A 27,581-nucleotide genomic window follows, 5' to 3' on the forward strand; every position below is an offset into this window, starting at 1 on the left:
GCTCATTGGCTGGGTGTGGTCATTCTCGCCTATAATCCCAGCACTTCGGGAGGCTGAGGCAGGCGGATCACCTGAGGTCAGGAGTTCAAGACCAGCCTGGCCAACATAGTGAAACCCCGTCTGTACTAACAGTACAAAAATTAGCCAGGCATGGTGGCAGGCACCTGTAATCCCAGCTACTCTGGAGGCTGAGGCAGGAGAATTGCTTGACCCGTGAGGCAGAGGTTGCAGTGAGCCGAGATCACACCATTGCACTCCAGCCTGGGCTACAGAGCGAGACTCCATTTCAAAACAAAAAAAGAACTAGCTTGTTTAACTCTCACAGTAACTCTAGGAAGTAGTTACTATTCTCTCTTTAATTTAGGTATGAGAAAAATGAGGCTCAGAGAAGTCATGTAGCTTGTGGTGAGCAAGTAAATTGTGAAACCCAGACCTGTATTAGATCTGAGTCTCCACAGCTACGTATTTAACCACTGTCCCTTCCATTAATCAGCCATCTACAAATAATTATTAAGCACCTCCTAAAAACAATCGGCAAATTCATAATATTTTAGGTTCTGGGAGAGAGGGAACAGAAGCAAAAGATAGGCCACTGGCAAAAACAAAATGACTAGGAACCACAGTGAACTGTGGGTTGGAGGTCCAGAAAAGACCTCCTTTCTTGGCAGAAAAGTCATGCTCTCGGTAGTGGTTCCCGCTTGATGGAGACTTTTCCTCATTTTTCTGTAATGTGCTCATAATCCTTCTAGAACATTATTGCTCTAGATTTTGGGTGTTGGTTGTTTTGTTTTTGTTTTTTTACCATCTTAACCATTTTTAAGTGTACAATTCAGTACTGTTAAGTACATTTACATTGGTGTGTAACCCATCTCCAGAACTCTTTCCATCTTACAAAAGTAAAACCCTATACCCATTAAACAGCAACTCCCGTTTCTCTCTCCCTCAATCCTGGCAACTATCATTCTACTTTCTGTCTCTGTGGATTTGACTACTCTAGGTATCTTATATGGGTGAAATCATACAGCATTTATCTTTTTATGACTGGCTTATTTTACTTACCCTCATGTCCTCAAGGCTCATCCATGTTGTAACATGTGTCAGAGTGTCCTTCCTTTTTAATGCTGAATAACTTTTCATTGCATATATGTACCACATTTTTTTAACCCATTCATCCACTGTTGGAAATTTGAGTTGCTTCCTCCTTTTCCCTATTGTGGATAATGCTGCTGTGAACATGGGTGTACAAAGAGCTCTTCGAGACCTTGCTTTTAGTTATTTTGGAGCTATACCCAGAAGTGGAATTGCTGGATCATATGATACTCTTATTTTTATTATTTTGAGGAACCACCTTACTGTTCTCCATAGCAACTCACCTTGTTACGTTCCCTCCAACTGAGCACAAGTGTCATAATTTTTCCACATCCATGCCCACACTTGTTATTTTCTGGTTTTGTTTTTAATAGTAGCCATCCTAATGGGCATGAAGTGTTATCTCATTGTCACTTTGATATGGTTAGGTTTTGTTTTGTTTTTTACTCCAGTGCAATTTTCTTTGCCAAGTGCTTTAATAAATCTTCACCTAATGCAAACCTTTTTGCACCTGTAATGCTGTAGGCAATTTTGGCTACTGTGCCTCCAAAAAGAAAGTAACAGACTTAGTAAAGACTTAGAAGAACAATTATGAAAATTCTAATAGAATACTTTTCTCACTGGGAAAGCATAAAACAATCCTATCTGTTTATCTAGAAAGATGAAGGCTGAGAAGGGCTATAATCAAAGTTTATAAAATCGAGCCAGGGAGGAAAGTACTAGTTCATTATGAGCAGGAGCCCTTCCCTTCACTTTCAGGACAAATAAACTATTACTCTGTAAAGGGAGTAAGACACATAAGGAATTCATTAATAAAAGTACTAGAACCTTGCATATGGATAACACTTTATCTTTTCCCAAAGAACATTTTGTTCACATTATTGTGAATGAATATTGCCATCTCACATGAGTTGGGTGGGTAGGACAAAGATCATCATCCCAGGAGGAAACAGCCTGTGGAAAGATGAAATGGCTTAACCATGGTCCCCTTACTTCTGAATTTGCTTTTCCCACAACTTAAGAAGTTGTTCACGTTGTGCCTATACCCGTAAGTACTTCAGAGTTTTAGGCTAGAATAATGGGTGGAAGATTTACAATTTTTTAAGCTAAGTAAACACGCAAGGAAGTGATCAACATAAAGTTCAGGATAATGGCTACCACTGGGGAAAAAGTGATGACCGAGAGCATCAGTACATTCACATTCTATTTCAAAACTGAAAAAATATATATCTGAAAGAATATAATCATGTTAAGTTTTGTTAAAGCTAGGAGATGCGTTATTTATTCTGTTACACCCTACACTTGAAATATTTTATAAATCAGAAGGAAGAAAATAAAAAATGTTTGAGGGACTCCTAACTTTCTGAGCCTAGCATCAAAGAAATTGGGCTCTAAATCTTTCCCAAATGGCCTTTGGTGCTAGTCTGAGAAACAAAATACTGAGCAGATTAGACCATTGATCTGACTCAACATGGCATTTCTTACATTCCTAGGAAATTGACCTGACAGGAACATCTCAGTAACATTGACCCGATGTTTCTCTTAGATCATATGTATAGGGAAGCTATGAGTACATGGAGATATTTTGTTTCTTTAAAACAAAAGCCAGAACACAAGATATTCAGACCAGAGCTAGCCCACAGATGTATGTTGTTTGATGAGCATACTTTTCAGAATTAAGCCAATATTTTAAAATCATATTTTAAAATATATATAACATATAAAAAAATCAGATTCTGACGTTTCTTGAAAATTCAAAAAATGAAGGCTTGTATTCCCATGAAGCAGTCATCACTTGGATGTTTGAAGGGGAGCTGCAGCTGCTCTCGGACACTGGGATCCCCCACTACTGTGTTGTCCCTCAATAACTTATGCCAAGGTGCAGGTGCCATTTATCATTGACCATACTGCTGTTTTTCTTATAGTCAGGAAAAGCTCTATAAACCATGTCTCTATCAAAGGTAAAACAACAAAAAGACACAAAAACCCTCTGACTTTTCTTATACCTGGCTGCCTTCACTTGCCTACCTTATCTATGTAGCCCTGTAGGCATGTTAACTTCCATTCCTGTAAGTAGCTTTTAATGGCCTTGTGCTCTTTTGGAGGGGCCAGGAGGAAATGATGAGTCTTAGTGATCTGGAAACATTCCAGACTAATTTATTATCTTCTCTTTTTTCCCTTCTTCTCCCAACTACCTTTTCCCCCTTTGGTTTTAGGTAAAAAACATCTTTTTTTTTTCTTGCCAATTCCATAGTTTGGGTAGAAAAAAAAATACCATTTAATTTTGTTATTTTTTATATGCTTATGCTTTTAGAATTAGAATATTCAATAGATCATACAGGCATTTTAATAAAGGAAATGTCACTGTTTCATGTTTCATACTTTACTATGAAAATAACTGTTGGCATGTGAAAATGGCAGGGAAGTACCTAATACAAACGACTTAAATATTTAAAGCATTAGCCTTACTTCATCATAAAAGAATGACATCGACAAACACCCCTCCACAATCAGTAAGAGCTGGGTTTGCTTGTTGTTGTCAATCTTCAAACCATGAATGCTCTAATCCACATGGAAGTATCTCTCTAGGAAGCCAGGTGTATATGAATCCCACATGTCTGGGATTTCCATAAGTGATAATGACAATATTTACTGTTGAATTTCTGGTTCTGCGAGTTTTTCTGGACATGACAAACAGGTTTGATGAAATTTTTAATGTTTAGTAATACAAAATACTGTATACTCAAATGCTAAGATATATGTATCGGGAAAGGTAAAGCTTTGTTTTGAAGTTTAAACATGTCAATGAAGTAATTCAGGATCTCCGTGTGATTTTAGCAAAGTCATCCAAATTAGGGGGACATTTTCTCCGATCCTTTTTCATACAAATGATTTTTGTATGAAATCATTCTGTATGAAATGATTTTGGGAATCAAGTAGTTGGAGTATATAAAGTGATTTAAATTCCTCACTATGGTTCTGTCTAGCCACAACCTATCACATACTCCATCCAAAGCACTATTCCTGGAGCTTTGATTTTTAACTGTGCCAAAATTGCCAACATGGTGGATCTTGATGGATTCCTGAAGGGTGGCACTTCTCCCACTCCCAGCCACCGCTGACCTCTTCAGCATCCTGGTCCACAGCCGATGGCTGTCACAGCATCCGCCTGCAGGAGCAATGGAAGATGTTCTCAGTCCCAGCCTGGAACTGGGGCACTGGGACAGTGTGTCTTGGCAGTCCTGTGGCCTGGACCTTCCCTCTCATCAAGCCAGCCCAGTCAGCAGTGCATGCACACCAGCTACACAGACATAATCACGGTTGCTTCAGAGCATTTGTGTCTGGCTCCCACTTCATGGGACAACTTAAAATAACAATGAAGTTGGGCTTTTTGCTTAGGGTGAGGAGTCAGTGTGTGTAGAAAAGGGAAGAATTGATATTTGTATTTGAAAACCAATATCAACATTTTAAGTCTTACAGCATAGAAAAGGTAGTTGACCTCTGTTCTCTCCTCCAGCTTTTGGACTTCAGATGTAGATTACAGAGAAGAAGATGGAAGAGGCAGGAGAAAATTTAATGTGATGGGGTTGAGGTGAGCACATAGGGCAACCACAGCCACCTCGGCACACTCCTTACAGGAAGTACTTGATGGCATCCTGCCGTTTGCTCAGCAACAACCTTGTAAACTAGTCGGAGTGGGGAGCGCTATTAGAAGCTCCATTTTACAGATGAGAAACACAAACCAAAAAAGGATAAATGACTTGCTCAGGCTAAGCTGTGGCAAAATCCAAATGTTTTCCCACATGTTCAAGTCTAGGGCTCTTTCCCTTCTCATCTTTATCATCCTCACCCCTGCCTTGTGAATCTGATTATGAGTGTTCAGCTTTACAATTCATATCATTCCTATGAAATAATTGTTGTAATAACTGAGAATCAGCACCGTTTGCATTTCAGGCACCCAAGGCCTGAAACCTACAGAAGTGAAGAGCTTCAGCTTAAAACAAAACTGAGCCCTTCCACTTATCGGACAGACATTGTCCTGTCCACTGCTCTCAACAGCTGTGAATAAATAACTATGAGTTTTATTACAGAATCATTTTTAGTAAGGTTTGCCAATAAAAAAATCAATGGCACAATCACAGTGGGAATATATACAGGGTAAGGCAGTGTTATTGACTGACATTAATCATTGCACAGCCATTAAAAGGTGCTCGATGCTTTCCTTACTGGTACACACTAACACAGTGGAGTGAAGAGATTCAGATTCCTGCACACCGTCATCTGTCTCTACCCAGAGAATCCATAGAGATCAGAGGCAACAATTAACGCCACCATGGCAGTCAGCAGCTAAAGACAGACAGATCCACAGCCCACTCATGCCTCATCTGTGCCTGAGCCACTGAGACCATTTCAGCCTTGAGGGGAGGGTAGGAGACAGGTGTTAATGTCAGTCAGTATCTCCTCTAAGAGGCGAGAAGAATCAAAAGATGAGAGTGCAGAAAGAGAGACCTATCGCGACTGCAAGCAGACGTCAATTCTGTTTCTCATCTTGAAAATGTCAATGTCACAGCCAGCATTCAGCCTAGATAGAGCTCAAGAGCATGGTCTCTGGGAAGACTGCCTGCATTTACTTCTGGGTTCTGCTACTGAGGGTCTGTGTGGCCCTAGGCACAGCATGATTTAGCCTTCTGCACCTCCATTTCATTATCTGTGATATAGGAATAATAGCTACTAGCACCCACCACAAAGGATTATTGTCTGGATCAAATTAATTGCTCATGTGAAGCACTTAGAAGAGAACCTGGCTGAGAGTAAGTAGAAAATCGATGTTTCTTTTTCCTGTCTACAATATACCTTATAGTCTTGGCAGTGATCTAAGCCACCTAGATCACTCAAAATTAGGCACCCACTACAGTCTCTTCCAGCTCTAGGCTTCCCTGATTCTGTGTCCAACCTAGAATACTTTTTCAGGTGAGATTCACTGAGAGGCAGCTTCGGCTTCACCCAGGTTTCATTAGAAACACAAATTCTCAGGCCCCATCCTGGACTTACTAAGCCAGTATCTTGGGGTGGGTACAGGATTCTAGGGCTTATTATGCCCTTCAGGTGATTTTTTAAAGTTGGACAAGCATTGTCTCAGAATCTCTTTACTGAGAACCTTCAAGCCAGATTCCCACTTTTTGTTTTGTTTTTATGAGACAGAGTCTCGCTTTGTCCCCCAGGCTGAAGTGCAGTGGCGCGATCTTGGCTCACTGCAACCTCTGCCTCCTGGGTTCAAGCAATTCTCCTGCCTCAGCCTCCCAAGTAGCTGGGTCTACAGGCGCATGCCATCATGCTGGCTAAGTTTTGTATTTTCAGTAGGGACAGGGTTTTACCATGTCGGCCAGACTGGTCTTGAATTCCCCGCCTCAGGTGATTTGCCCACCTTGGCCTCCCAAAGTGCCGGGATTACAGGCATGAGCCACTGAGCCCGGCCCGAGATTCGCATTTTCAAGGACCCCAGTGGTGGAGCTGTATTCTTAACAGTGCCTATGGGGATCCACTGTTGTCTTGGTTCCTTTTGACGTGTGGACTGGTGGGAGCCAGGGCATCTGGAGGGATTGCTTGGGAGCCCTACACAATCAGCTCAGTTAGTTAAGAAAAGGATGATACTGAGAATGAGAGGAGAATCCTAGCTGGGGCACTTCCAGCAGTGATGAATTGGGATAAGTTTTAGCCCCTGTTTTTATATTATTTTGACTTTAAATCAGATTTCTACCTCGGTCCCATATTTGTAGTCTAAATGAGTCTGTAAACTAGAGATTACAGTGCTGCGATTCAGAACCTTGGATGATGGCCTCAGCTGCATTTTTCTTTTATTTGAATTCTGCTAAGGCTCATAAAGGAAACTGGGAGCTTGTTCTTTGAAATAGACTACTGGACACTGAAAAGCCATCAACAGGGTTTGCTGTTTTCCCCAAAATCAAGATACTCAGTAACTAACTACTGCAGAGATCTAAAGAGGAGCAATGAGACATGGTAGAAATCTTCAGTGTCACCTTTCACCCTCTTTCCACTTCTACATCTCCGTTCATCCACTTATCTCCAGGATATTCCCCCTGTGTGATCAACCAACACAAATATAAAATGCAACATTTCTAAAATGGGGTTTTAAAATCTCCCATAAGGCATATTCCTTTTTAGTTACTTCTTCACCATCAGTGAAACGATTGGTTTCCAGTTTTCTTCTCACGGTGAAAACTTCAAGGTGTTAGCCAACTCCCAGCCTTCTCATGCATCACCACATCACTTGGGTCTGCTTCTTAGGGTCGCTCTGTGTCAGAGGCATAGTCGTCCGAGTTCTTCTTTCCTCAGGGGTAGACGGCTTCAGCGACCTCATCTGCACCCTTCGTGGACCAGCAGCAGTGTGCCCTCCTCAATCCACACACCACCATTGCAACTGCAACGCCTCTCGAGGGGATTGCAATCCACTGCAGCAGCAACACCTTACAAAGACTTTTTTCTTAACATGCCGTTCGTGTCTTTGACACAGAACATAACTCTACCTTTGTTTTTTTTATTCTATCACATCCAGTATCTCTGCCCAGCCTTCAAGCTATTTGCTAAATCTGCTTTCCACATTTCATGAAGAGAATTCTCCATATTTCTCTTCATGCCAGGAAATCAATGTGTTGTTCTCATCACTCTACTTGTTTCTTCCCACCTCCAGAGCATCACACATGTCACTCGCTGCAATCCCCCAATGATATACTTCACCCATCCGACATTTACTTCCTCCTTTTTTTCCATCTGTCCTCATCTCTCATTTCAGAACTCTTATTAAGCCATCAATCCAAGTTCCCTCTATTTTTATATGCCCTGCTACTGCTGTATTCACATTGTTACGTGTGCATTGCTTTGCAAATATCCCCAAGTGATTTTTCTATGTAGGTTCTCCTCTAGAGAATTTATTACTGAAGACCAGAGGCAGAAAATTTCCCATTTCTTTTGTTTATGCTACACTTGGGAGATCAGCCCGGAATGCTGAGGTTGATAGAATGTTTTGCATGAAGTAGGCACTCAAGACATGTTATTCATTGACTACAAAAGGTTGCTTGATGCCCTGAAGACAACCAGAAGAGAAAGAGCAGTTAGGATTGCTCCTAGCCGAGGCATATTTTAGGGAGCTCTAATGAGACCCAATTAGAAACCCTCCTCCTGTTCTCATATGCGTCATGTGAACGGTAAAAGCTAGTATATGAAGACACGGGGCTAACTGTGGCTTTTTGGACTGTTGCATGCTTCTCTTCTGCCCTGAATGCTTGCCTGGTTTGCATTACGATTTCCTTCCTTGCTGGAAAACATAGACTTTCTTCCTTTCTTTGGAAGAAGTGGGACCTGTTGGAAATCTGAGGCTCCAAGATTCAAATGCAATGGGCTTGGCTGTAGTGCTCTGTAGTACACTTCTTGACAAGTCCTGAAAAGACTATTGAATTCTGGCCTGTGCTTTTCTGCAGTGTTTGGATGTGTTTCAGCTGCAGTGTTTGGCTGGACAGAGTAATCGAAATAGTTTTTTTTTTTTTTTCCTTCCTCAGCAATCTTACGTTACCAGTTGATCCTTAAAGTTAAAATGGAATATTTTACAACCCTGCAAATACTTTCGAGTGCAATCGAATTATAGCTCTTTCACAAGCAAACAGCCTATCTTTAAAAAATTGTGCATAAATAGGTCAAAATATAAATTGATGTTGTTATCCTAATAGAAAAACTGGCAAACATTTGGTGAGCTTGCTAGAGGATACCAACTTGCATTGAAGATCTTTTTTAATTATTATTAAACAAACACAGGCATTTTGATGGGACTTAATATGGAAGAAATTTTTTTCTCTTTTCTTTCATACGATTAAAATGCTATAGTAGTAATCTACACTAGTAATCTAGTAGCAATGTCACTAGTAGATTGCATTTGTGCTGGGCTGGGGGTTTTGATGCTCTGTGTATCAGGCTATTGTTCTCTGGTAATCTTCAAAGGGCTGCTGGCCTTTGAATCTGCTCCATATCTAAAATTCTAGCTTTAATTATCAGATTAGCCTGCATTTTTTTTTCTTCGTGATTACAGGGAGGAGAAGTGTATGTTTATTATTCTGCAAAATACTTGAGATGGTAGGATCTCAAATGCTTAATTTTGTTGTAGAAATGAGAGCTGATCAAATTATAGACTCCTTTAAGCTAAGGAAAGGAAATGAATAAGTCAGGGAAACAGAGGCACTGAGGGGCACAATCGAAATAGGCATTCATGTGCTGCACTTTGCTAAACAATGCTGGCACTGTGCCTTTCAGGGTCCCTGCAAGTCATGAACAAAACGAGAAAGATTATGGAACATGGGGGGGCCACCTTCATCAATGCCTTTGTGACTACACCCATGTGCTGCCCGTCACGGTCCTCCATGCTCACCGGGAAGTATGTGCACAATCACAATGTCTACACCAACAACGAGAACTGCTCTTCCCCCTCGTGGCAGGCCATGCATGAGCCTCGGACTTTTGCTGTATATCTTAACAACACTGGCTACAGAACAGGTAAGGGATGACGTTTCTAGCCCATGAACGTCTTGTAATATGTCTTAGACTCAGGAAGAAGTGTCATGTAATGAAATGCATGAAGTTCCAACAAATACCTAAAAAAGGATCAAGTGTTTTTAAACTGCTTGACATCTACCCCAGGGTCTGGGACACAGTAAATGATCAAAATTATTTATTATTTATTAATTAATGAAAAACTGATGGGTAAATCAATCATGTGTACCTTGTTGATTCATGTATTTGTTCATTCATAATTAATAGGATTTGGAAAGTTTCTTTAGCTTGTGGTTGTTTTTAGGTCTCAAATGTTCACTTCTACCTTCCAGGAAAGGAAGTCATCCTAATTGCTACACCTCCTATTATTGTTTAACCTACACAGGGCAAGAAGAGGTTTTTGATTAATTGGTTTTTTGAAAATTGGGGACTTCTTTCAAGAGGGGTAGTGAACATCATGCCAGTCTTTCTGAGAAAAAAGCAAGGTTCCTTCTGGTAATATTAGCCCCAAGGCCCTATCCTCCCAGCATGTAGATGATGTCCTTGGGTTTTTTGTAGCATTTCTTCATAAAAGGGCACAACGTTGTTCGTAGAAGGGCTACAGTGCAGACATGGGTTGTTGCTTGTTTTTATTTTTCCAGAATCACCTAGGCTTATTCATAAGAATCAAATATGTTATGATTAAAGCTTGTTCAAATGACTTTCAGGCCTACAATTTCTCTATTTTGAAGATTTAAAAGTAAAGGAGTTCAGATAAATATTCTCCTGCATCTCTTTTAAAAGTGAAATTAATCTTTCCCACTGGACTCAGGAAATATATGGCCATTTGCTTCTTTGCAGAGCGCCCTACGGGCACTTAATACTTGTTATTTATGGATGAAAATATTGATTGTGCATATGATAGCACTGTCACTCGCAGACAGCTCAAAGTCTCGACTCGAAGCAGCTCCTCCCGTGCATCTCAAGGGTGTTTTCTTATGCGTAGGAAAGAAACTAGGTTACGTAGAGGTTACAGAGAGTGCCTTATCTGAGTGTGTTTTCTCACATTAGTGATTTAAATTTATAGCACCTTTCATTTGAGGACTCTAAAGCAATTTGCAAATCCACCAAACATCCCTGTAGAGTTCATAGATGGCAAATGTACTTGGCTCTGTTTTATAACTGAGGTGGGGATTTCAAATATTGCGTGACCAGCTCAGAAACAGAATCAGAGGCGGTTCCCTAATAACCGGTTCCTGATTTTAACCATCAAATTGTGTTTTGCTTCTGGGAAGTGTTGTGTGAAATCAGTGCCTTTCACCTCCCAGGTTCCCTAGTAGCAAACATGGAACTGGAACGATTGGGACTCTCACATATCCAGAGTGAAATGGATGACATTTGTCATAAGAAATAGAGATTGAGGGTGAGACAGGGCCCTGCCAGGACTTAGAGCAGTCAACTAGGGTTTGCTAATTTGTTTCAGGGCTAAATTAGGAAGGGCAAGAAAGAAGGGAACTCCATTTTGCCATTATCTCACCTAATTCCTAGGGCAATCTTGAAAGAAAGGAATTTCCCATGTTACTAATGAAAAAACCGAGACTCAGAAAGGCTAATTGTCTATGGTCATGAGCTAGTCGGTGATGGAATGAACCCAGCACATCTGACTCCAAAGTCTTTCCTCTGTTCATTGTCTTATTTATTTATGTAATGATTCTCTTCTGCCTCATTCCAAAACGCCTTCCAGAGATACAGACTTTAGAAGCTACAGACCCATGAGGACCCTGGCAAACAGAAACAAAGAGTAGGACTAGCTAAAGTCAAGGCAAAGATTGCTGTACAAACTGCTTGCTGTGGAGTTGTAGGGAAAGGTGGAATATTTAGAACTAAGCATCCAGATGTTAAGAGCAAAAATGGAAACACCATCCATTGTAAAGTTCACCCAGTCACCGGGATAAAAACAATTCAGTTGCCTCTAAGCATGTTTCCTGGTACTTGCTTCGGTTATACTGTGCTATATCCACCTTAAGAGGGATTGAGAGAGTTTAACTAAAACTCAAAGATGATTTAGTTCCATTTCCTTATTTTTAGAGGAGCAAATTTACACCCACAAGAATAAAGTGACTGAAGTGACAGATCTGACTGTTTTTTATTTATTTGTTTATTTATTTTATTTTATTATTATTATACTTTAAGTTTTAGGGTACATGTGCACAATGTGCAGGTTAGTTACATATGTATACATGTGCCGTGCTGGTGTGCTGCACCCATTAACTCGTCATTTAGCATAAGGTATATCTCCTAATGCTATCCCTCCCCCCTCCCCCCACCCCACAACTGACTGACGTTCCAATGGGAAGAGCCGGCACCGGGACCTTAGTCTTCAGGGCTCTCTCCAGTGTGCTGATCAAACCTTAAGAATCGGGTCTGGGATGAAACTGTGTACACACCGGAAGGCTTCCCTGTTACCTCAATGGACTGTCACTTTTTTGTGCAGCCCGAGAAGTTTGTTTCAGTCGATGTCTTCTCCAGGGAGAGTAGATTTGCTCCTGGAAACTAAATCTGTTTCTAAACCTTTTCCCCAGGGTTTAGACACTTAGGTAATAATACAATTTATAGTGAGTCAACCTCCAAAATAAAAGGAATTCTTTAAGGGAAATAAAGACTTTTCCAAAAACTTAGTTAACAGTAGGAAAAGGGGCTGGGTGCGGTGGCTCACGCCTGTAATCCCAGCACTTTAGGAGGACAAGGCTGGCGGATCACGAGGTCAGGAGATCGAGACCATCCTGGCTATCACGGTGAAACTGTCTCTACTAAAAATAGAAAAAATTAGCCAGGCGTGGTGGCGGACGCCTGTAGTCCCAGCTACTTGGGAGGCTGAGGCAGGAGAATGGCGTGTACCTGGGAGGCGGAGCTTCCAGTGAGCCAAGATCGTGCCACTGCACTCCAGTCTGGGAGACAAAGCGAGACTCTGTCTCAAAAAAAAAAAAAAAAAAAAGGAAAGAAAAACCAGTAGGAAAAGGATAATATGGGCTCAGGAAAACAAATCTAGATTTGCCTATTAGTAAATCAGAAAAAATAAAAATTGGGGCCGGGTGCAGTGGCTCATACCTGTAATCCCAGCACTTTGGGAGGCTGAGATGGGCGTATCACCTGAGGTCAGGAGTTCGAGCCTGGCCAAAATAGCAAAACCCCATCTCTACTGAAAATACAGAAATTAGCCAGGTGTGTTGGTGCATGCTTGTAATCCCAGCTACTCAGGAGGCTGAGGCAGGAGAATCACTTGAACCAAGGAGGCAGAGGTTGCAGTGAGCCAAGATCGCACCATTGCACTCCAGCCTGGGCAACAAAGCAAGACTCTGTCACACACACACACACACACAAAAAAAAAAAAAAATGGGAAGACTGAAATGGCAGTGATAGAGATCTCTATAATTTAATTTATCCTTGATGGGAAAACATTACAGTATCTCAGACAATTAGGAAGTAAAAATGTCTTCATGACAATAGTTATTGATCCAACCATGGACAACAACCCATTTGAAAATACACAAATAAGTACACACAAGTGGCAGGAATCTTAGAAAATTAAGAGAATTGGTAGGTAGATATTAAACCAATGTAATTATGAGACACTAAACTAGTAGGGAGAAAGTCAATGTGTAAAGATTCTATTGCTTTCCTAATAATGAATTTATTATTTGGAACATTTAGCTACAAACCTAAGAAAAATAATGACGGAAACTGAAATATGTACTATACATACATAAATATCCATCTAGAGAGTAAGTTTTATGTAGAATAACTCAGAGAAAACAAATTACTAAAGGGCTTATTTTGGGAGGCGTCCAGAATCCATGGATTTAAATGAGTTGAATTAATCCAATATTATATTTACCATTGTATGACATGAGTTTTCTCTTTCAGAACTGAGGCATATTTTTGGACTGGCTATAGCCTAAATTTTTCTAAGTTTACTCATGGAAAATATGAGTCTATGAGAGCTTGAATGTTCAAGAAGGGGAAAATGCAGTAACATGTCGACTGCACTTCATATTCTGACAAGTGAAATAGGAATGAGATTGGATTATATATCATAAAAATGATTATCCTGCCTGAAATCAGCTCCAAAAAAATTAACTTAAATTTATTATGAGGATATCAACATTAATATAAAACCTGGCTTAGGTTTTAAGGTAAAAATAATTATCCATGGTTGAGTGATAGCATTAAGTATTTAACAACAACAAAAAAAACTGAAGCAAGATTGAAAACATCGTGGAATCACATTCTACCTTGATTTGTTTTGAGGACTTGGACTGGCCAGTTTTCCAATCTGTATGATGCAGAGATTGGCCTAGAATGATTCCTAAGTTTTCTTTCTTGTCCAAAGTTACAGTGTGTTATAACTTTATTATACTCATGGTAATTATAATATTGATTCATTTAACAATTGTGGTATTTGAATTATAATCCTAACACATGGTACATAAAATCACATATGAGTTAAATCTTAATCACATGAATTCTACCTCACATCACTGAGGTAGAAGGGACAATATTTAATAGACAGCTGCAATAAATATTTTTGTGAAGAATTCTTTTGTCATAAATCAAAATCATAGACCTTAGTTCTGAAAAAGAAAAATTATATCAAATAATGGTAAATACAATATTGGATCAAAAATTTTTTTGTCTTTTTACGTTACAAAATTTATGTTACTTATAGCAAGTATATTTATTCTCTAATATGAGATTTTTTAAATGTAGAGTTCACTTAAAGTAAGACAAACTAATATTCTTAATTTTATTATGATGTAGATTCTTGATACATGCATAAACATGAGAAATGTCATACATTTATTAAACCACAGTGTGCTTGGAACACACTAGACATTGGGATGAAGACATTTAAAGGAAGATTCCTGTCTTCACTAGACTTACAATCTAGTTGAGGAAACCAGACTGCTGTATACAAACTGACATTAATCATAATTTTAACTTGGTTCAAAATTATTTATATTTATAGTTACTAGCGTGAAATCCATCACCCTAAGTCTATCAATTACGTGGATTAAAATCTCAATATATCTTTTGATACATTAAATAAGATTTGACTTTTCTGCGGCATCAGATCTTTGGGTTAGTCACTATTGCTGGCTTTAAAAGAAATTCCTTGGCTTCAGGTAGTTCCTGGAAATTTTTCTAAGCATTATGGAACAGGTTGTCCTAGACAGAAGTAGCATGGCCTGAAGCCAACAATAATTACAATCAGGTCTTCTGATCTTTCTCCCTGCCCCCCAACCCCCACCACCTTCTTAAACAGCTGTGAAGGGAAGTGCTTAATGGTATCCAAAACAAAGAGGATGGGTAAATGGCACATTAGTGATGTATTCAGATAGTAGGAGTTGAATTGAATTGCCAATGCCGAAGGATAGAAAAATATTGAACTATACGTAACCTACATGTAGACATAATGGCAGTAAGGGCAAGAAAGCTAAATTCACCTTAGGAAGGGAAAAAGAGATTTAATACATCTGGAGGAAAATAATTAGAGGGCCAGATAATCAATTGCAGAGCGCCGCCAGGAAACATCGTGTTGAAAGAGGCCGGGGTGATTACAAACGAGTCTCAATGTCATGAGGCAACAAAAAGGCCAGAGCAACTGGAGGCCAACAGTGCTGCACCCTGACACCCAAGGCCCCCATCAGCCTTGGAATGAGTGTGATGGGTGAGCGCACATCTGGAATACTGAGTACATTTCTTACGCTCCGTTAACACAGAGACACCAAAAACCTGGAGGGAGTTCTGAAGCAAATAACAAGGACTATTAAAAGACTTGAAGGAATAGTTTATAAGGGAAGGATTAAGTCAAAGGGGAATGCCATGGCAATGGGTAGAAAACAGTACAAAATATCCTACAAAGTAAAACAATGAGGAAAGGGCAGGAATGACTTGGGGAGAGGAAACAAAAAAACCCCAACAATGAAGTAACTTAAAGTGCAGAAAAAAAAATTAAAACTAATTAAGCAGAAAAATGTAAGCCAAATGGAGGAGTTTGTTGCCACAAAATAAGTAGTAGTGGGGAAGAAAATATGTAACCTCCGAAGAGATATTTTCAAGTGCACAAGTGCAGAACTCTAGTGCGAGATTTCCTTACACTGCAGGATGGAAAATCATTTACAAAAGACAGGGCCAAAAGAATACTGCTAATGGTGATGCTAATAACAATATTAGTTGTAGGAGCACTTAACAAGCCGTTGTTTTGTGCCAGGCACTGTTTTCAGCGCTTTACATATGTGTTGATGCATTTAATCCTCAAAACAATCCTGCCACCATTATTATTATCACCATAGTGGCTTTGCAGAAGGGGAGTTGGGGGAGGGAGAAGTGAAGTAACTTGCATGTAGATGGATACCCTAGCAAGTAGCAGAGCCAGAATTTGAACCCAAGCAGGCTGGCTCTAGGGTTTATATTCTCAATCACTATGCTTTTTGCCTTCTTGGAAAAAAAAAAAAAAAAAGGAAAGAAAAGTGGGATAAACCCGTAGGGATGAGGAGGAGGCCAAGGAAAGCACGGGGCTTGAGGCTGTTAAGTGCAAGCTTTTTGGAAACAATCGCTTTTGAACGTTAGTGGGGTGTGGCCTTGGTCTGCTGCCTGTGGCTCCAAGTCATACTGCATTTTGTTGGAAAAGGAAAATCATCTTGTGGTTCTATGTGAAAAGGTCAGTTCGTCTCTAAGACAGGAATTCCTCATTAAAAGAATTCCAACTACACGTAGTCAGCACAGAAGGAAATCCTGAGTCACCTGATGTGAGACCCTTTGACACTTTGCCCTACACTGATCAACGTGCTCAGTGCCCCTGGCAGAATGCTTAAGCAGCGGGCACTTGGCTGACTGTAGACCTAATTGGTTCACTCATTCACAGAGCCAACAAATAAACATTCATTCAACAAACAAACATTGCCATGTTTCTCAGACTGGAGTCTAGATTCTTTTAAAAATAATATAATAAGAAATAACAATTTTAGAAACTCTAAAGCTCTATTCTATGAAAATGTTTTGAAGGCCAAATCAGCTTTAAAAAATATGATGATTTGATTGGGCGCAGCGCCTCATGCCTGTAATCCCAGCACTTTGGGAGGCCTAGGCAGATGGATCGATCACCTGAGGTCAGGAGTTCGAGACCAACCTGACCAATATGGTGAAACCCCATCTCTATTTAAAAAAAAAAAAAAAAAATTAGCCAGGTGTGGTGGCGTGTGCCTGTAGTCCCAGCTACTTGGGAGTCTGAGACAGGAGAATCGCTTGAACCCAAGAGGCAGAGGTTGCAGTGAGCCGAGATCACACCACTGTACTCTAGCCTGGGCAACAGGGTAAGACTCCATCTCAAAAAAATAAAAAAGATAATTCAAGCAAAATCACAAAATTTTTAAAGTCTAGACCTCGTAAAGTCCCCAGAATACATTGGATTCATGAACCCAAATTCAAGAAACAAAAAGGATGGAGCCCTGAACTGTGTGCAAGGATGGAGAGTGCCTCAGAGATAAGGCAGAGGCAATGTTTGCCCTCAAAAAGCTTACAGTCTAGCAGGTGTTCAGCTTCTATATGAACATGACTATACCACAATGGAGAAAGGGAAGATGACATTACAACCACAAAGACAGTGTTGTGGAATTAAGACAGAGACTGTGAGTGAAATGGCATCTGCTCTGGCCTTGATATATAAAGAGGCAAATAAAGAGAATTGCACAAGCAAAAATAGAGAGGTGGGAACCAGAGAGCAAATAGAGGAAACATTAGCTGGAGAGAGGGACGATTAACAGAGAAATAGGAGATGGGGTTGGAAAGGGAAGGATTTTGTCCAAACTCAAAGTAGGCCTCTGAGGGCAAGCTAGCAGAGTACACTTGATTCTGCAGGCAATGAGGGTAATCTGAGATTGCGAGAAGAGGGTGAAGTAACCAGAGCAGGTCCTTGGGAAGATTAACCAGTGGCAATCGAAGTGGAAAGACCCTCCATCCTGGCTGGGAAAGTCAGTGAGACCATGAGCATCTGTGAGGGGTGGCAAGTTACCAGGGATGGCAGGAGGGATTTGAGCACTATTTCCAAGGCAGACCTGATAGGAGGTGGCAACTGCCCAGCAAGGGGAGCGCAGGAGCAGGCGAAAGCAGAGGGGGCTCTGGAGGGCCAAGCATGGTTCATGGAGGGTGATTATGCCATTCAGAGGAATGGAGTAAGGCTGAAAGGGAAAACTGGTAATTCCATTTTAGGCAATGGCATTAGGAAGCAAGTAAAACATTCAGATGGAGGAATTCTACAGGTACAGGTGCTCCTTGACTTACGATGGGGTGACATCCCAATAAACCCATCATAAGTTGAAAATAAGGTAAGTCAAAAATGCATTTAATATACTGAACCTACCGAACACCAGAGCTTAGCTTAGCCCAGTCTAACTTAAATGTGCTCAGAACACTTATATTAGCCTACAGTTGGGCAAAATCATCGAACACAAAGCCAATAGGCTTGTAATAAAGTACTGAATAACTCATAGGATTGATTGAGTACTGCACTGAATGCATACCAATTTTACACCACTGTAAATGTGAAAATCTTCAATTGAACCATCGTAGGTCAGGGACCATCTGTAGTCGTATATCAAAGATAAAAGCAAGCTAAATACCTATCCCATAGAGACATCAAAATTATGTACATCATTAAGTTTAAAATTCAGAATGTGTGTTTTAAGACCAATGTCAATAAAGTGCTGCAATTCTAGAATTCGTTTCTATTATCCCAAGCCAGTCTTCCAGGAACTACTTTTTTACCATGGATATAAGCGAGGGCACCTATAAAATCTGTTTAATGAAGCCAGGCATTGGCTTTGACATGGAAGGCGTCTGGCAACAGCTTTATAACATCAGAAAAACTAAAACTTGCCTACATATGTATATGCATGCATAGGGGTGTGTGTGTGTGTGTGTACACACACATATATACATACACGCACACATGCTTATACCTATACAGACATATATAAAATAAAGTTTTCTCTAGCCCTTTCTACTTGAAGGGAAAGCTATGTGTGTGGCTGGAGTGACTAAACATTTAGGTTTACCCAGAATCATGCTTGTTTATACCTGCTTTTCTGTAATTACAGCAATTACAAATAACATCCTCTTGCTCTCTCAAAAGTATTCCAGTATATTTATGACTACCATTCTGCTAGGTTGTAATGTCTTTTTCACTTCAAGAATGAACCCATATTGTTCCTGGAATCCCAGCTTCTTCTTTGCTTCCCGTACCCCTCTCCTGTCATCATCTTTTGCAGAAGACCAAATTTCTAGTCACCCTCTCAGAGAGACCGAGTCAGCCCTGTGGCACAGTGGTCTTTCTTGGAAGTGACATGCCAAAGTTATAAATGTGAAGGCCTTCCAGTGGCTTTTTTAGTGAACTGTGGTGTCTTTGTGACACATACACTTCTACTATACTATAATTGTATGAAAATTAGTAATCTATGTAGTAACTCTATGTTGACAGAATTTTTATTATCGATAATAGATGTATACATTCATAAAATACACATAACATAAACACCCATTACATACTATACATGTGATATAAACCCTGACCATATCCCATAAAAATGGAGTTTACCATGGTTCCCTGGTTTGGAAAATTTGTACTCTCTGGATATGTAAAAACGAAAATAAGCTTTTCAATAGTGTTTTTATAATTCACAATTCTCAAATAGTAAGTTAGAAAACTTATCACAAAGACTGAACTTTCAGTTCTCCAACACCTGCCCGGTGGTTGCATTCCAAATCTCACGCTACTTCTCTGATTGTTCCATCAACTTAACAAAAGAGCATAGCCTGATTTTACTCCAGTAGGACCATAAGAAATGAATGCACCCAGAGTGCTGTGATCATTATGATGGTTTCATTGAGCTGTAATCCATGTACTTGGATACTACTTCTATTTATTTTTTAAAAATGTGTTTGTGTCACTTTGCCAAAGGATTGGAGTATTACACTAATGTCATTTTGGCATTCACTATTACCTAGGGCAACTTTTGTTTTACCGTCTCTTTTTCAAGTCATAATTTTATACTTATCCATTTATTTATGATTAATCATTTTACGTGAAAAAAATAATTCTTTTTTCCCACTGCAGCCTTTTTTGGAAAATACCTCAATGAATATAATGGCAGCTACATCCCCCCTGGGTGGCGAGAATGGCTTGGATTAATCAAGAATTCTCGCTTCTATAATTACACTGTTTGTCGCAATGGCATCAAAGAAAAGCATGGATTTGATTATGCAAAGGTAATTTTCAGGCACTTTTACACTGCATCAATTTACTTTGTGCATAATGGGGAAAAGCCATTTTCAGTGAGTTAAACTATCCACAAGATTGGCTTTCTATGTTCTCACAATGTTAGCATGAGAAATGTTAAGGTAATTTTAAACTCTAGGCAAGGAAAAGACTCTCAAGGAACGCTGCCTTTGTGTAGTGATTTCCCTCATTAGGATGAAAGGCAATCAGGCTTTGATGAAAGTATCATCAAGAAAATCAGAATTCTCTGCTCTCTTATGATAATTTTTGTCCTCCCAGTTCCCCCGGACCCAACCAAGGACTTGTCCACATAATCAAATGTTCATCTTGTACTGTTTTACTTTTCACTGGGACAAAAGTATATTTTGTCTGTGGCTTCAGATTTAGGCACAAGCATAAGAGCAAATAAATATGATAATTAAAGTTTGAAAAACCACATTCCTTGCTTTTACTCCTGTCTGACCAAGCTTAGTATACGTGACAAGGACACCTTCCCTATCACGGCAAGCATCCACAAAAGTCTCTAATGCTATCAATTCTAGGATTTTCAAATCAGTTCAGAGAAACTGAAATCAACATGTCCCATAGTTCTTTGACCAGTGGGTTCTAGTTTTGACTTAAAAATTCACAAAGATTTTGTGATAGCTGACTTAAGTTTAAATTTTTTTCAAATCATAAGAATGAAGGGGAAAATATCTTCGAATTTAGCATGCTTATTTGCCAAAATATCCCCTTCCCTTCCAGCCATACCCATCTCTTCTTCATTTATCTAGAAGAAGCCGAGAATCTGCTCTATCTAGCAACCTCTCCCAACAGGCTAGATCACTTGGTAGAAATCGGAAGGAGAGAACTTGATTTAATGTTGGCATATTGCTGTCTTTATGCTTGGCCTGATTTGAGCACAAGGGACTTGATGGGAGATAAGATTAAGTCCAGCTCCTTTATACCCTTCAGAAAACAATGAATGCAAATGAATTCATAAACATTGCTAATAGGCTTCCAAACTCATGAAAGTTAAAAGTTAGCAGAGACCTTGGAGGCAAATTTGAGCAATGTCCTCATTTGCAAAGATGAGAAAAAAGCATTCTAGAGTGGCTCAACCACTCATCCTAGGTCATATCCCCAGCTGTGGATACAATCATTGCAAGCAAATGGTGCAGACCACGTGCACTAATTGTCACTGCTCTCCTTTGCTGTCTGTAGGGATGCTTTTTCATGCTCCTTGTTCAAGTTATTAACCTTTCTTTCCCTGCTGTCCTAAAGAGAGCAAAGTAATCAAGATTCTCTCCAAATACTAAATCAGCGTAACTTGTTCATTATCACAGCTGATTAAGTGTCAAAGACAACTGTGTCTGAAAAGAATATATATCTTTTTTTAGTGAGGAAAAGAATGAAACAGACACTCCCTTGGAAGAGGAAGGGGATAGCCTGTAGACTTGCCCTAACAATGACATGCGGCACACACCATCCCTCTGATACTGCTTTTGCAGCTGTTCTGGTCCTTAAATCCACAACATGTGATTAGCCATGCCTGGAAGCCTTCAACATTTGCAAATATTGCCTAAACACTTTCTGAATAAAGTTTATACTGGAGCTCCAAGCCAATGACACACACTTAAAAGAAGCAGGTGGTTTAAGTTTTCATCTTTTCTTTCCTTTTCATTCCATTTCCTCCCTCCCTCTTACAGACCTGCATCAGCCCCCCCTGACTGTGGGTTAAGTCATTTTATTAGCAAGTCAGGCTCTAATCCCAGCAGCTGTATTGCTTTAGTTGTGCAATTAACACAGTATAATCTGCAGGAAATCAACTGCTCCCTATTCAAGTGTTTCAAGTAAATTAACTGATCAAATGTTGCAGCTTTTCCCTGTGCTCCTGGATTTTGGCCATGGCTTTGATTACTGATTATTGTAATTCCCACAGGTGGATTTTTCGTTTGAAGAAAATATCTTTTCTTGTGTTTATGTATTCATGGGCGTGTGTGTGTGAGCGTGTGTGTATGTATGTGTGTGTGTTCTGCAACTGTAAATTTGAAGTGGGCGTGGGTGTTTCCTGCCCTTAAAGTAATTAAATTTTTTGCCAAGGAATTACATCAATGAAACCTGAGACTGAAATATGTATCCGGTGTTTCATGTGTTCTAGTACTTTTATCGCCAGATTAATCATTATCTTGGGCAAACACGACTTGACTTTTTTTTTCCCCATTGCTAAGTTGTGTATTACTTAAAATCCATTTTTCGTATGTTACCAAGCTAGCAACCCTAGAAAACAACTGGCAGCTGATTTTCTCTATTATCGAAAATGTTCGGCTGCCTTGGGAGGTGCAGCCTTCCTTCCTGCTGTAGACCTTGCCACTTCGTGCAGTGAATTGCTTCTGAGGAAAGCAGTTATTCAAATGCGATCTGATGAATGTCACCTTTTGTAATTTTTGTTTTGTGTCAAATGTATGTTTCAGGACTACTTCACAGACTTAATCACTAACGAGAGCATTAATTACTTCAAAATGTCTAAGAGAATGTATCCCCATAGGCCCGTTATGATGGTGATCAGCCACGCTGCGCCCCACGGCCCCGAGGACTCAGCCCCACAGTTTTCTAAACTGTACCCCAATGCTTCCCAACACATGTAAGTAACAAACTCAACTCTGCGACCTGCCGAACATGCCTTTCCCTTTTCTCCTCATCCCACTCCTCTCCTTTACCCCGTTTCCTTCCACCCTGCGTATCCACAAGGCTTTCTTCATGAAAGGATAACTTAAGAGCAGACCACGGAACAGGCAGAGCCGCTGAGCCTGAAAGAAAGCGCCTTATCTGGGTGGTTTGAGGAGGAATCAAATTTCCAGCATTTACAAGTAGCTAAATAGAAAGGAAGAGATGCACATAGAGTGAATGGGGGCAAGTTTTACAAGAGTTTCCTTTCGTTGTCTTAAATAATATTCGTGTGTCTGATCTAATAATGATGATGATCAAATAGTATGCTTTTCATAGCTGCACAGTGGGGACCTCTGGTCTGGTTATAGAAACATGGATTTATTTTCCAGGCGAATACCGTAGCAGCTTTGCTGCAGACGTGCAATTAGAATTCCTGCAGAAGGCAGCTTGAGTGGCTTGCCCAAGAGGGCTTCTCAGGTCACAGCTTTAAAATAACCTGATTTTTTTTTTTTTAAAGAGGCAGGAGTCTTGGAGATGGGGGGTGGGAAGGCACAAGGGAGAGGGCTGATGGCGTGGAGGGATGAGACAGAACAAAGAGCTGTCGTGTGCCCACAATTCTCACCAGCCAAAGGTGGAAAAATCTAGATGCTTTGGCAGCAAAGAACATGATTTTGTTGTTCACTCAGTTGACACCATTTCTTCCTAAGCTTTGCCATCAATATCCAGTCTTCCACACAGAGCAGTGGAGTTGGCTCTGTGTCTGCTGAAAGCCTGACCATTAGGGAGACAGGGAACAGAAAATTGGTATCTGTTTCCTATATTGTGAAACCTCCAAAATTGGTTCTTAATCTATTTGTACTTAAATATCATCTCTTTTCATCCACACTGGTTATTAGCCAAGATTCCAGGCAGAAAGAACCTTACGAAAATAGGTAAGTAACTATGCAGGCTCTCTAGTTGCCGGTCACTATACATCCCTAGAGAAGTTTTTATAAAATGTTCTCTTTTTTTTGAGACAGAGTCTTGCTCTGTAACCCAGGCTGGAGTGCAGTGGTGCAATCTTGGCTCACTGCAACCTCCGCCTCCTGGGTTCAAACAATTCTCCCACCTCAGGCTTCTGAGGAGCTGGGACTACAGGCACACGCCACCACACCTGGCTAATTTTTTGTATTTTTAGTAGAGACGCAGTTCCACCATGTTGGCCAGGCTGGTCTCAAACTCCCCTGACCTCAAGTGATCCACCCACCTCGGCCTCCCAAAGTGCTGGGATTACAGGCATGAGCCACCGCACCCAGCCTTATAAAATATTTTTATTTGTACCTTAATGTAACTGATTGACTTATGACTCCTGGTCAGTGGTACACAGATCATCTCTATGATATCATGTGACTTAGACCAGAAAGAAGGAGGCCAGAGCTGACTCAGGACAAGAACTAACAATATGAAGCCAGGGTGGGTTACCTACTGAGCATGCCCAGGAACTCAGAGGATGGAAGTGTTTTAATGCATAAAATATCATCGACAAATCATGAAGGTTGCCCCAGCACCTGGGAATATAGCTGGGATAAGCCATTATGTTTTGGAGTCAACTCCATGGGTGGATATTTAAGCTTCTGAAGATCTTCCCCTATATACAACTCTGCGAGTAAATTCATGAATGAAGCCCATGTGTGACAAGTGGCTCTCCATTATAGCTCACTTACAAATTTAGTAGCCAACTGATTCAATGAAAGGAAAAAGTCCTGCGGGCTTTTTCAATACCCCTGAACCCCCCTGTTCCCATTTCTGTTGAATCAGAAATCACTTTACCTATCTTTGTTGCATTAGCAGAAACCCAGTCTAAGGTGACTTCCTATAACTGTAAACTTTACAGATGTTCCCTCAAGCTGGAGGAGAAGGGGTTGACAAAACAGAGTGTTTTGTGGCTCCTTAAAAGTCAGCCTGCCTTTGAAGCTTTGAGGCAAGGTCCTAAGCCTGCAGGAAAATCAGCCTCAGGTCAAGAGTTTATAAGAGCTCAGTTGCATGGAATCAGTACTGCATGAGGGGAGGAGCCTGCAGAGTTCTCAGGGTCTCAGCAATAGCTTTTTGAAAAACATCTCTGTGCTGGCCAGGCGCGGTGGCTCACGCCTGTAATCTCAGCACTTTGGGAGGCCGAGGCGGGCGGATCACGAGGTCAAGAGATCAAGACCATCTTGGCTAACACTGTGAAACACTGTCTCTACTAAAAATACAAAAAAAAAATAAAAATTAGCCAGGCGTGGTGGTGGGCACCTGTAGTCCTAGCTACTCGGGAGGCTGAGGCAGGAGAATGGCATGAACCCGGGAGGCGGAGCTTGCAGTGAGCCGAGATCGCACCACTGCACTCCAGCCTCGGCGACAGAGCAAGACTCTGTCTTAAAAAAAAAAACAAAGAAAAGAAAAGAAAAACATCTCTGATTCCAGTAATTAAAAATTCTATTTCATTCCACGAATATTTATCAGTGCCACATGTGACACTATGCAGCCCAGCAGGGATATAGATAAGCGTGAGGAAGACACAGTTGCTAACATTTAAGGACAGATAAACTAAGGCAGGGGTTGGCACACTGGTACCCACAGTCCAAACCTAGCTTGCCACCAGTTTTTGTTAACAAAATTTTATTGACACACAGCCATGCTCATTCATTTATGTATTGTCTGTGGCTGCTTTCACAATACAACAGCCAAGTCGAGTAGTTGTGTCAGATACCATACAGCCTGGAAATACTATCTCATCCTCGATAAAGTAACTTTGCCCCAACCTCTGCTCTAGGGGCAGGATGGGCAAGTGTCCCAATGGCAATATCACCAATAGGGCCAGAAGTGACAAGCACAGAGCAGACGTTCGCAGGGCTGTGGAGCGGGGAGGGAGAAGCCTTCATATCTTTGAAGGAAACCAGGAAAACTTCATGGACCAAGGCTTCAAAGTGGGCCTCAAAAGATGGGTAAAATTTCTGCAGATAATTGTTTAGAGATTGGGTTTCAGGAAGAGAATATGGCAAGGACACGTGGTCACTGTATAAGGGAGGCAATCTAAGATGTGTCCTAGAAACTGGAGAATGGGCTACAAAGAAAGCAGCACTAAGGAACAATGCTGCAGAGGGAAACTGTTGCAGAATATTGAGGGTGTCAGTGAGTTTGTATGTAACTGCAAGCAGAGAGTCACTGGAGGTTGGGTAGTAACAAAATAGGAGGTGGCTCAGACATTTCCACATGCAAATAGATTCAGTAGTTCCTTTTTAGTTCAAATGAACCTTCTATTGCCCTTATTAGTGATTCTATAAAGTAAAATCTACACAGTGCAGAGGGTGGCCTTAGAGGCTAACGAGCCTGGTTTCCTGCCTCAGCTGCCCTCACTGAGTGTAGGGGTGCTTTCTTTAATCTCTGGAAACCTCCACTGTCTCATCTGTAAAATGGAGATAATACTAACACCTTGATGTGATGTCATGAAGAGAAATTAAGAGAGGCAGTGTAAGTAAAGTCCCCACATAGAGCCTGGGACATACAAGCCACTTCATAAGTGTCAATTCTTATTGAACCTTTTTATTAAGAAACTAACAATATTCTATCATTCTGGACCTACAAAAGGGCAATTTCATGTGGCTCAACTTAAGGTTTAGGGGAAGCAGTGAGAGAAATGACAACTTGATGCTTGTCCATTGTGACATGACAGACCTCTTGACAAGCTAAGACTCCCATTGTGATGAGCCTCTCACACCTGGCCATTCCAATGGAACAGACAGGGTAAGGACCAATCTGGACTGTGTTATCTTTTCCAGGTGCAAGTATGTGCTATGGGTAAGTGCCAGTTTGGAGAACTCCCTTAGCCACAGGAAATGAAAATTCATGTGATTGTTTGAAGGATTCAGCTTCTCTTTGCTGCTAATCCTTGGGTTTTGTGCACCTAGAATGTGGTCTCCTGCAGGCCCTGAAAGCCTTGAATTCCTGGCATCTTTGCTGTGAAGGTCTCCCTGGCTGCTGCTGGAGGAAGGGGCTGGAAGGAGTGAGTGTGTGCACAGGTTCAGAGTTCAGTCTTCAGACAAAAGGAGTGAGATAAATTGAAGACAAGCTGCCGATGGTAGTGCATGGAACTGCTCAATGACCAGCTTCCTTAGCGAAAACATTAGCAACACATTCAGGCAAAGGGATGCGAGAAGTTAAGTACTTTGCAGAAATATTTGACAGGCCCTGCAAACACTGAGCAAGAAACCATAGGTTCTCCCCAATTGCAGGGATGCAAGTAACGTGAACACTTTCCTTTCGGTCATCTTCCTTGGTGGTCAGGCATCATCTGGATCACTTTCATCTGGCATCGGGTTATAACTACCTGACCCTCTCAGACTGGGGTGAATGTATCATCTTTCCAAGGTGTTTGCCGTTCCCAACAAAGAGAGGAAGCCAGTTCGCTATTGGCCTGTTAGCTTTACAAACGGATGGTAGAGCTTATGCTTACCAAGGAAGAGTGAAAGGGGATTATCGACCACTTGTTGACAGGGAAAATAGTTTAATCAAACTGTAACTCAGCTACTCATGGCCACTGAGAAATCTGAGAAAGCCTCTGTCATAATAACACACATAATAATCCTAGTATTAGAAAGCCCTGCGCTCTGGCTAAGACTCTACTATACTTTTCAGTAACTTATTTCCCCAGAATCTCCATAGGGATGCAATTCCTTCACCCCTGCTTTAAGTTACTTCTCTCTCCTCGCCTCAGTGATGTCATCATATACACCTGTGGACAAAAGCCGTGACAGGGAAGGAGATGCCATTTACGTCCCTGGTGATTCTATAGGAAACTAAGGGACCTCCTTATCACCCTTCTATGAACTATGCCCCTGTCAGCTTTAAAAATTTGTTGTTGTTATTCCAATTTTTTTTTTTTTGAGATGGAGTTTCACTCTTGTTGCCCAGGCTGGAGTGCAATGGCACAATCTCGGCTCACCACAACCTCTGCCTC

At 40.8% G+C, this 27,581-nt stretch overlaps 1 protein-coding gene across 36 annotated transcripts in view; it reads left to right on the plus strand.

Moving 5' to 3' along the window:
- SULF1 (sulfatase 1) overlaps positions 1–27,581 on the plus strand; it is a 194,132-nt gene that overhangs the window by 99,781 nt on the left and 66,770 nt on the right. For 30 of the 36 annotated variants that reach the window (NR_182051.1, NR_182053.1, NR_182050.1 and 27 more), the window contains 3 exons: positions 9,409–9,648; positions 19,796–19,947; positions 22,411–22,580. Coding sequence is in view for 28 of the 36 variants with exons in the window: in NM_001412835.1 (NP_001399764.1) it covers positions 9,409–9,648; positions 19,796–19,947; positions 22,411–22,580 (562 nt within the window). In the remaining 8 variants the exon portion in view is untranslated. Of the gene's footprint in view, positions 1–9,408; positions 9,649–19,795; positions 19,948–22,410; positions 22,581–26,338; positions 26,423–27,581 lie in introns of those variants that run through there. The other 6 variants (NM_001412845.1, NM_001412846.1, NM_001412844.1 and 3 more) reach the window with 2 other exon arrangements.

Source organism: Homo sapiens, chromosome 8 (assembly GCF_000001405.40).
Source record: "Homo sapiens chromosome 8, GRCh38.p14 Primary Assembly".
In the NCBI taxonomy this organism is placed as follows: domain Eukaryota; kingdom Metazoa; phylum Chordata; class Mammalia; order Primates; family Hominidae; genus Homo; species Homo sapiens.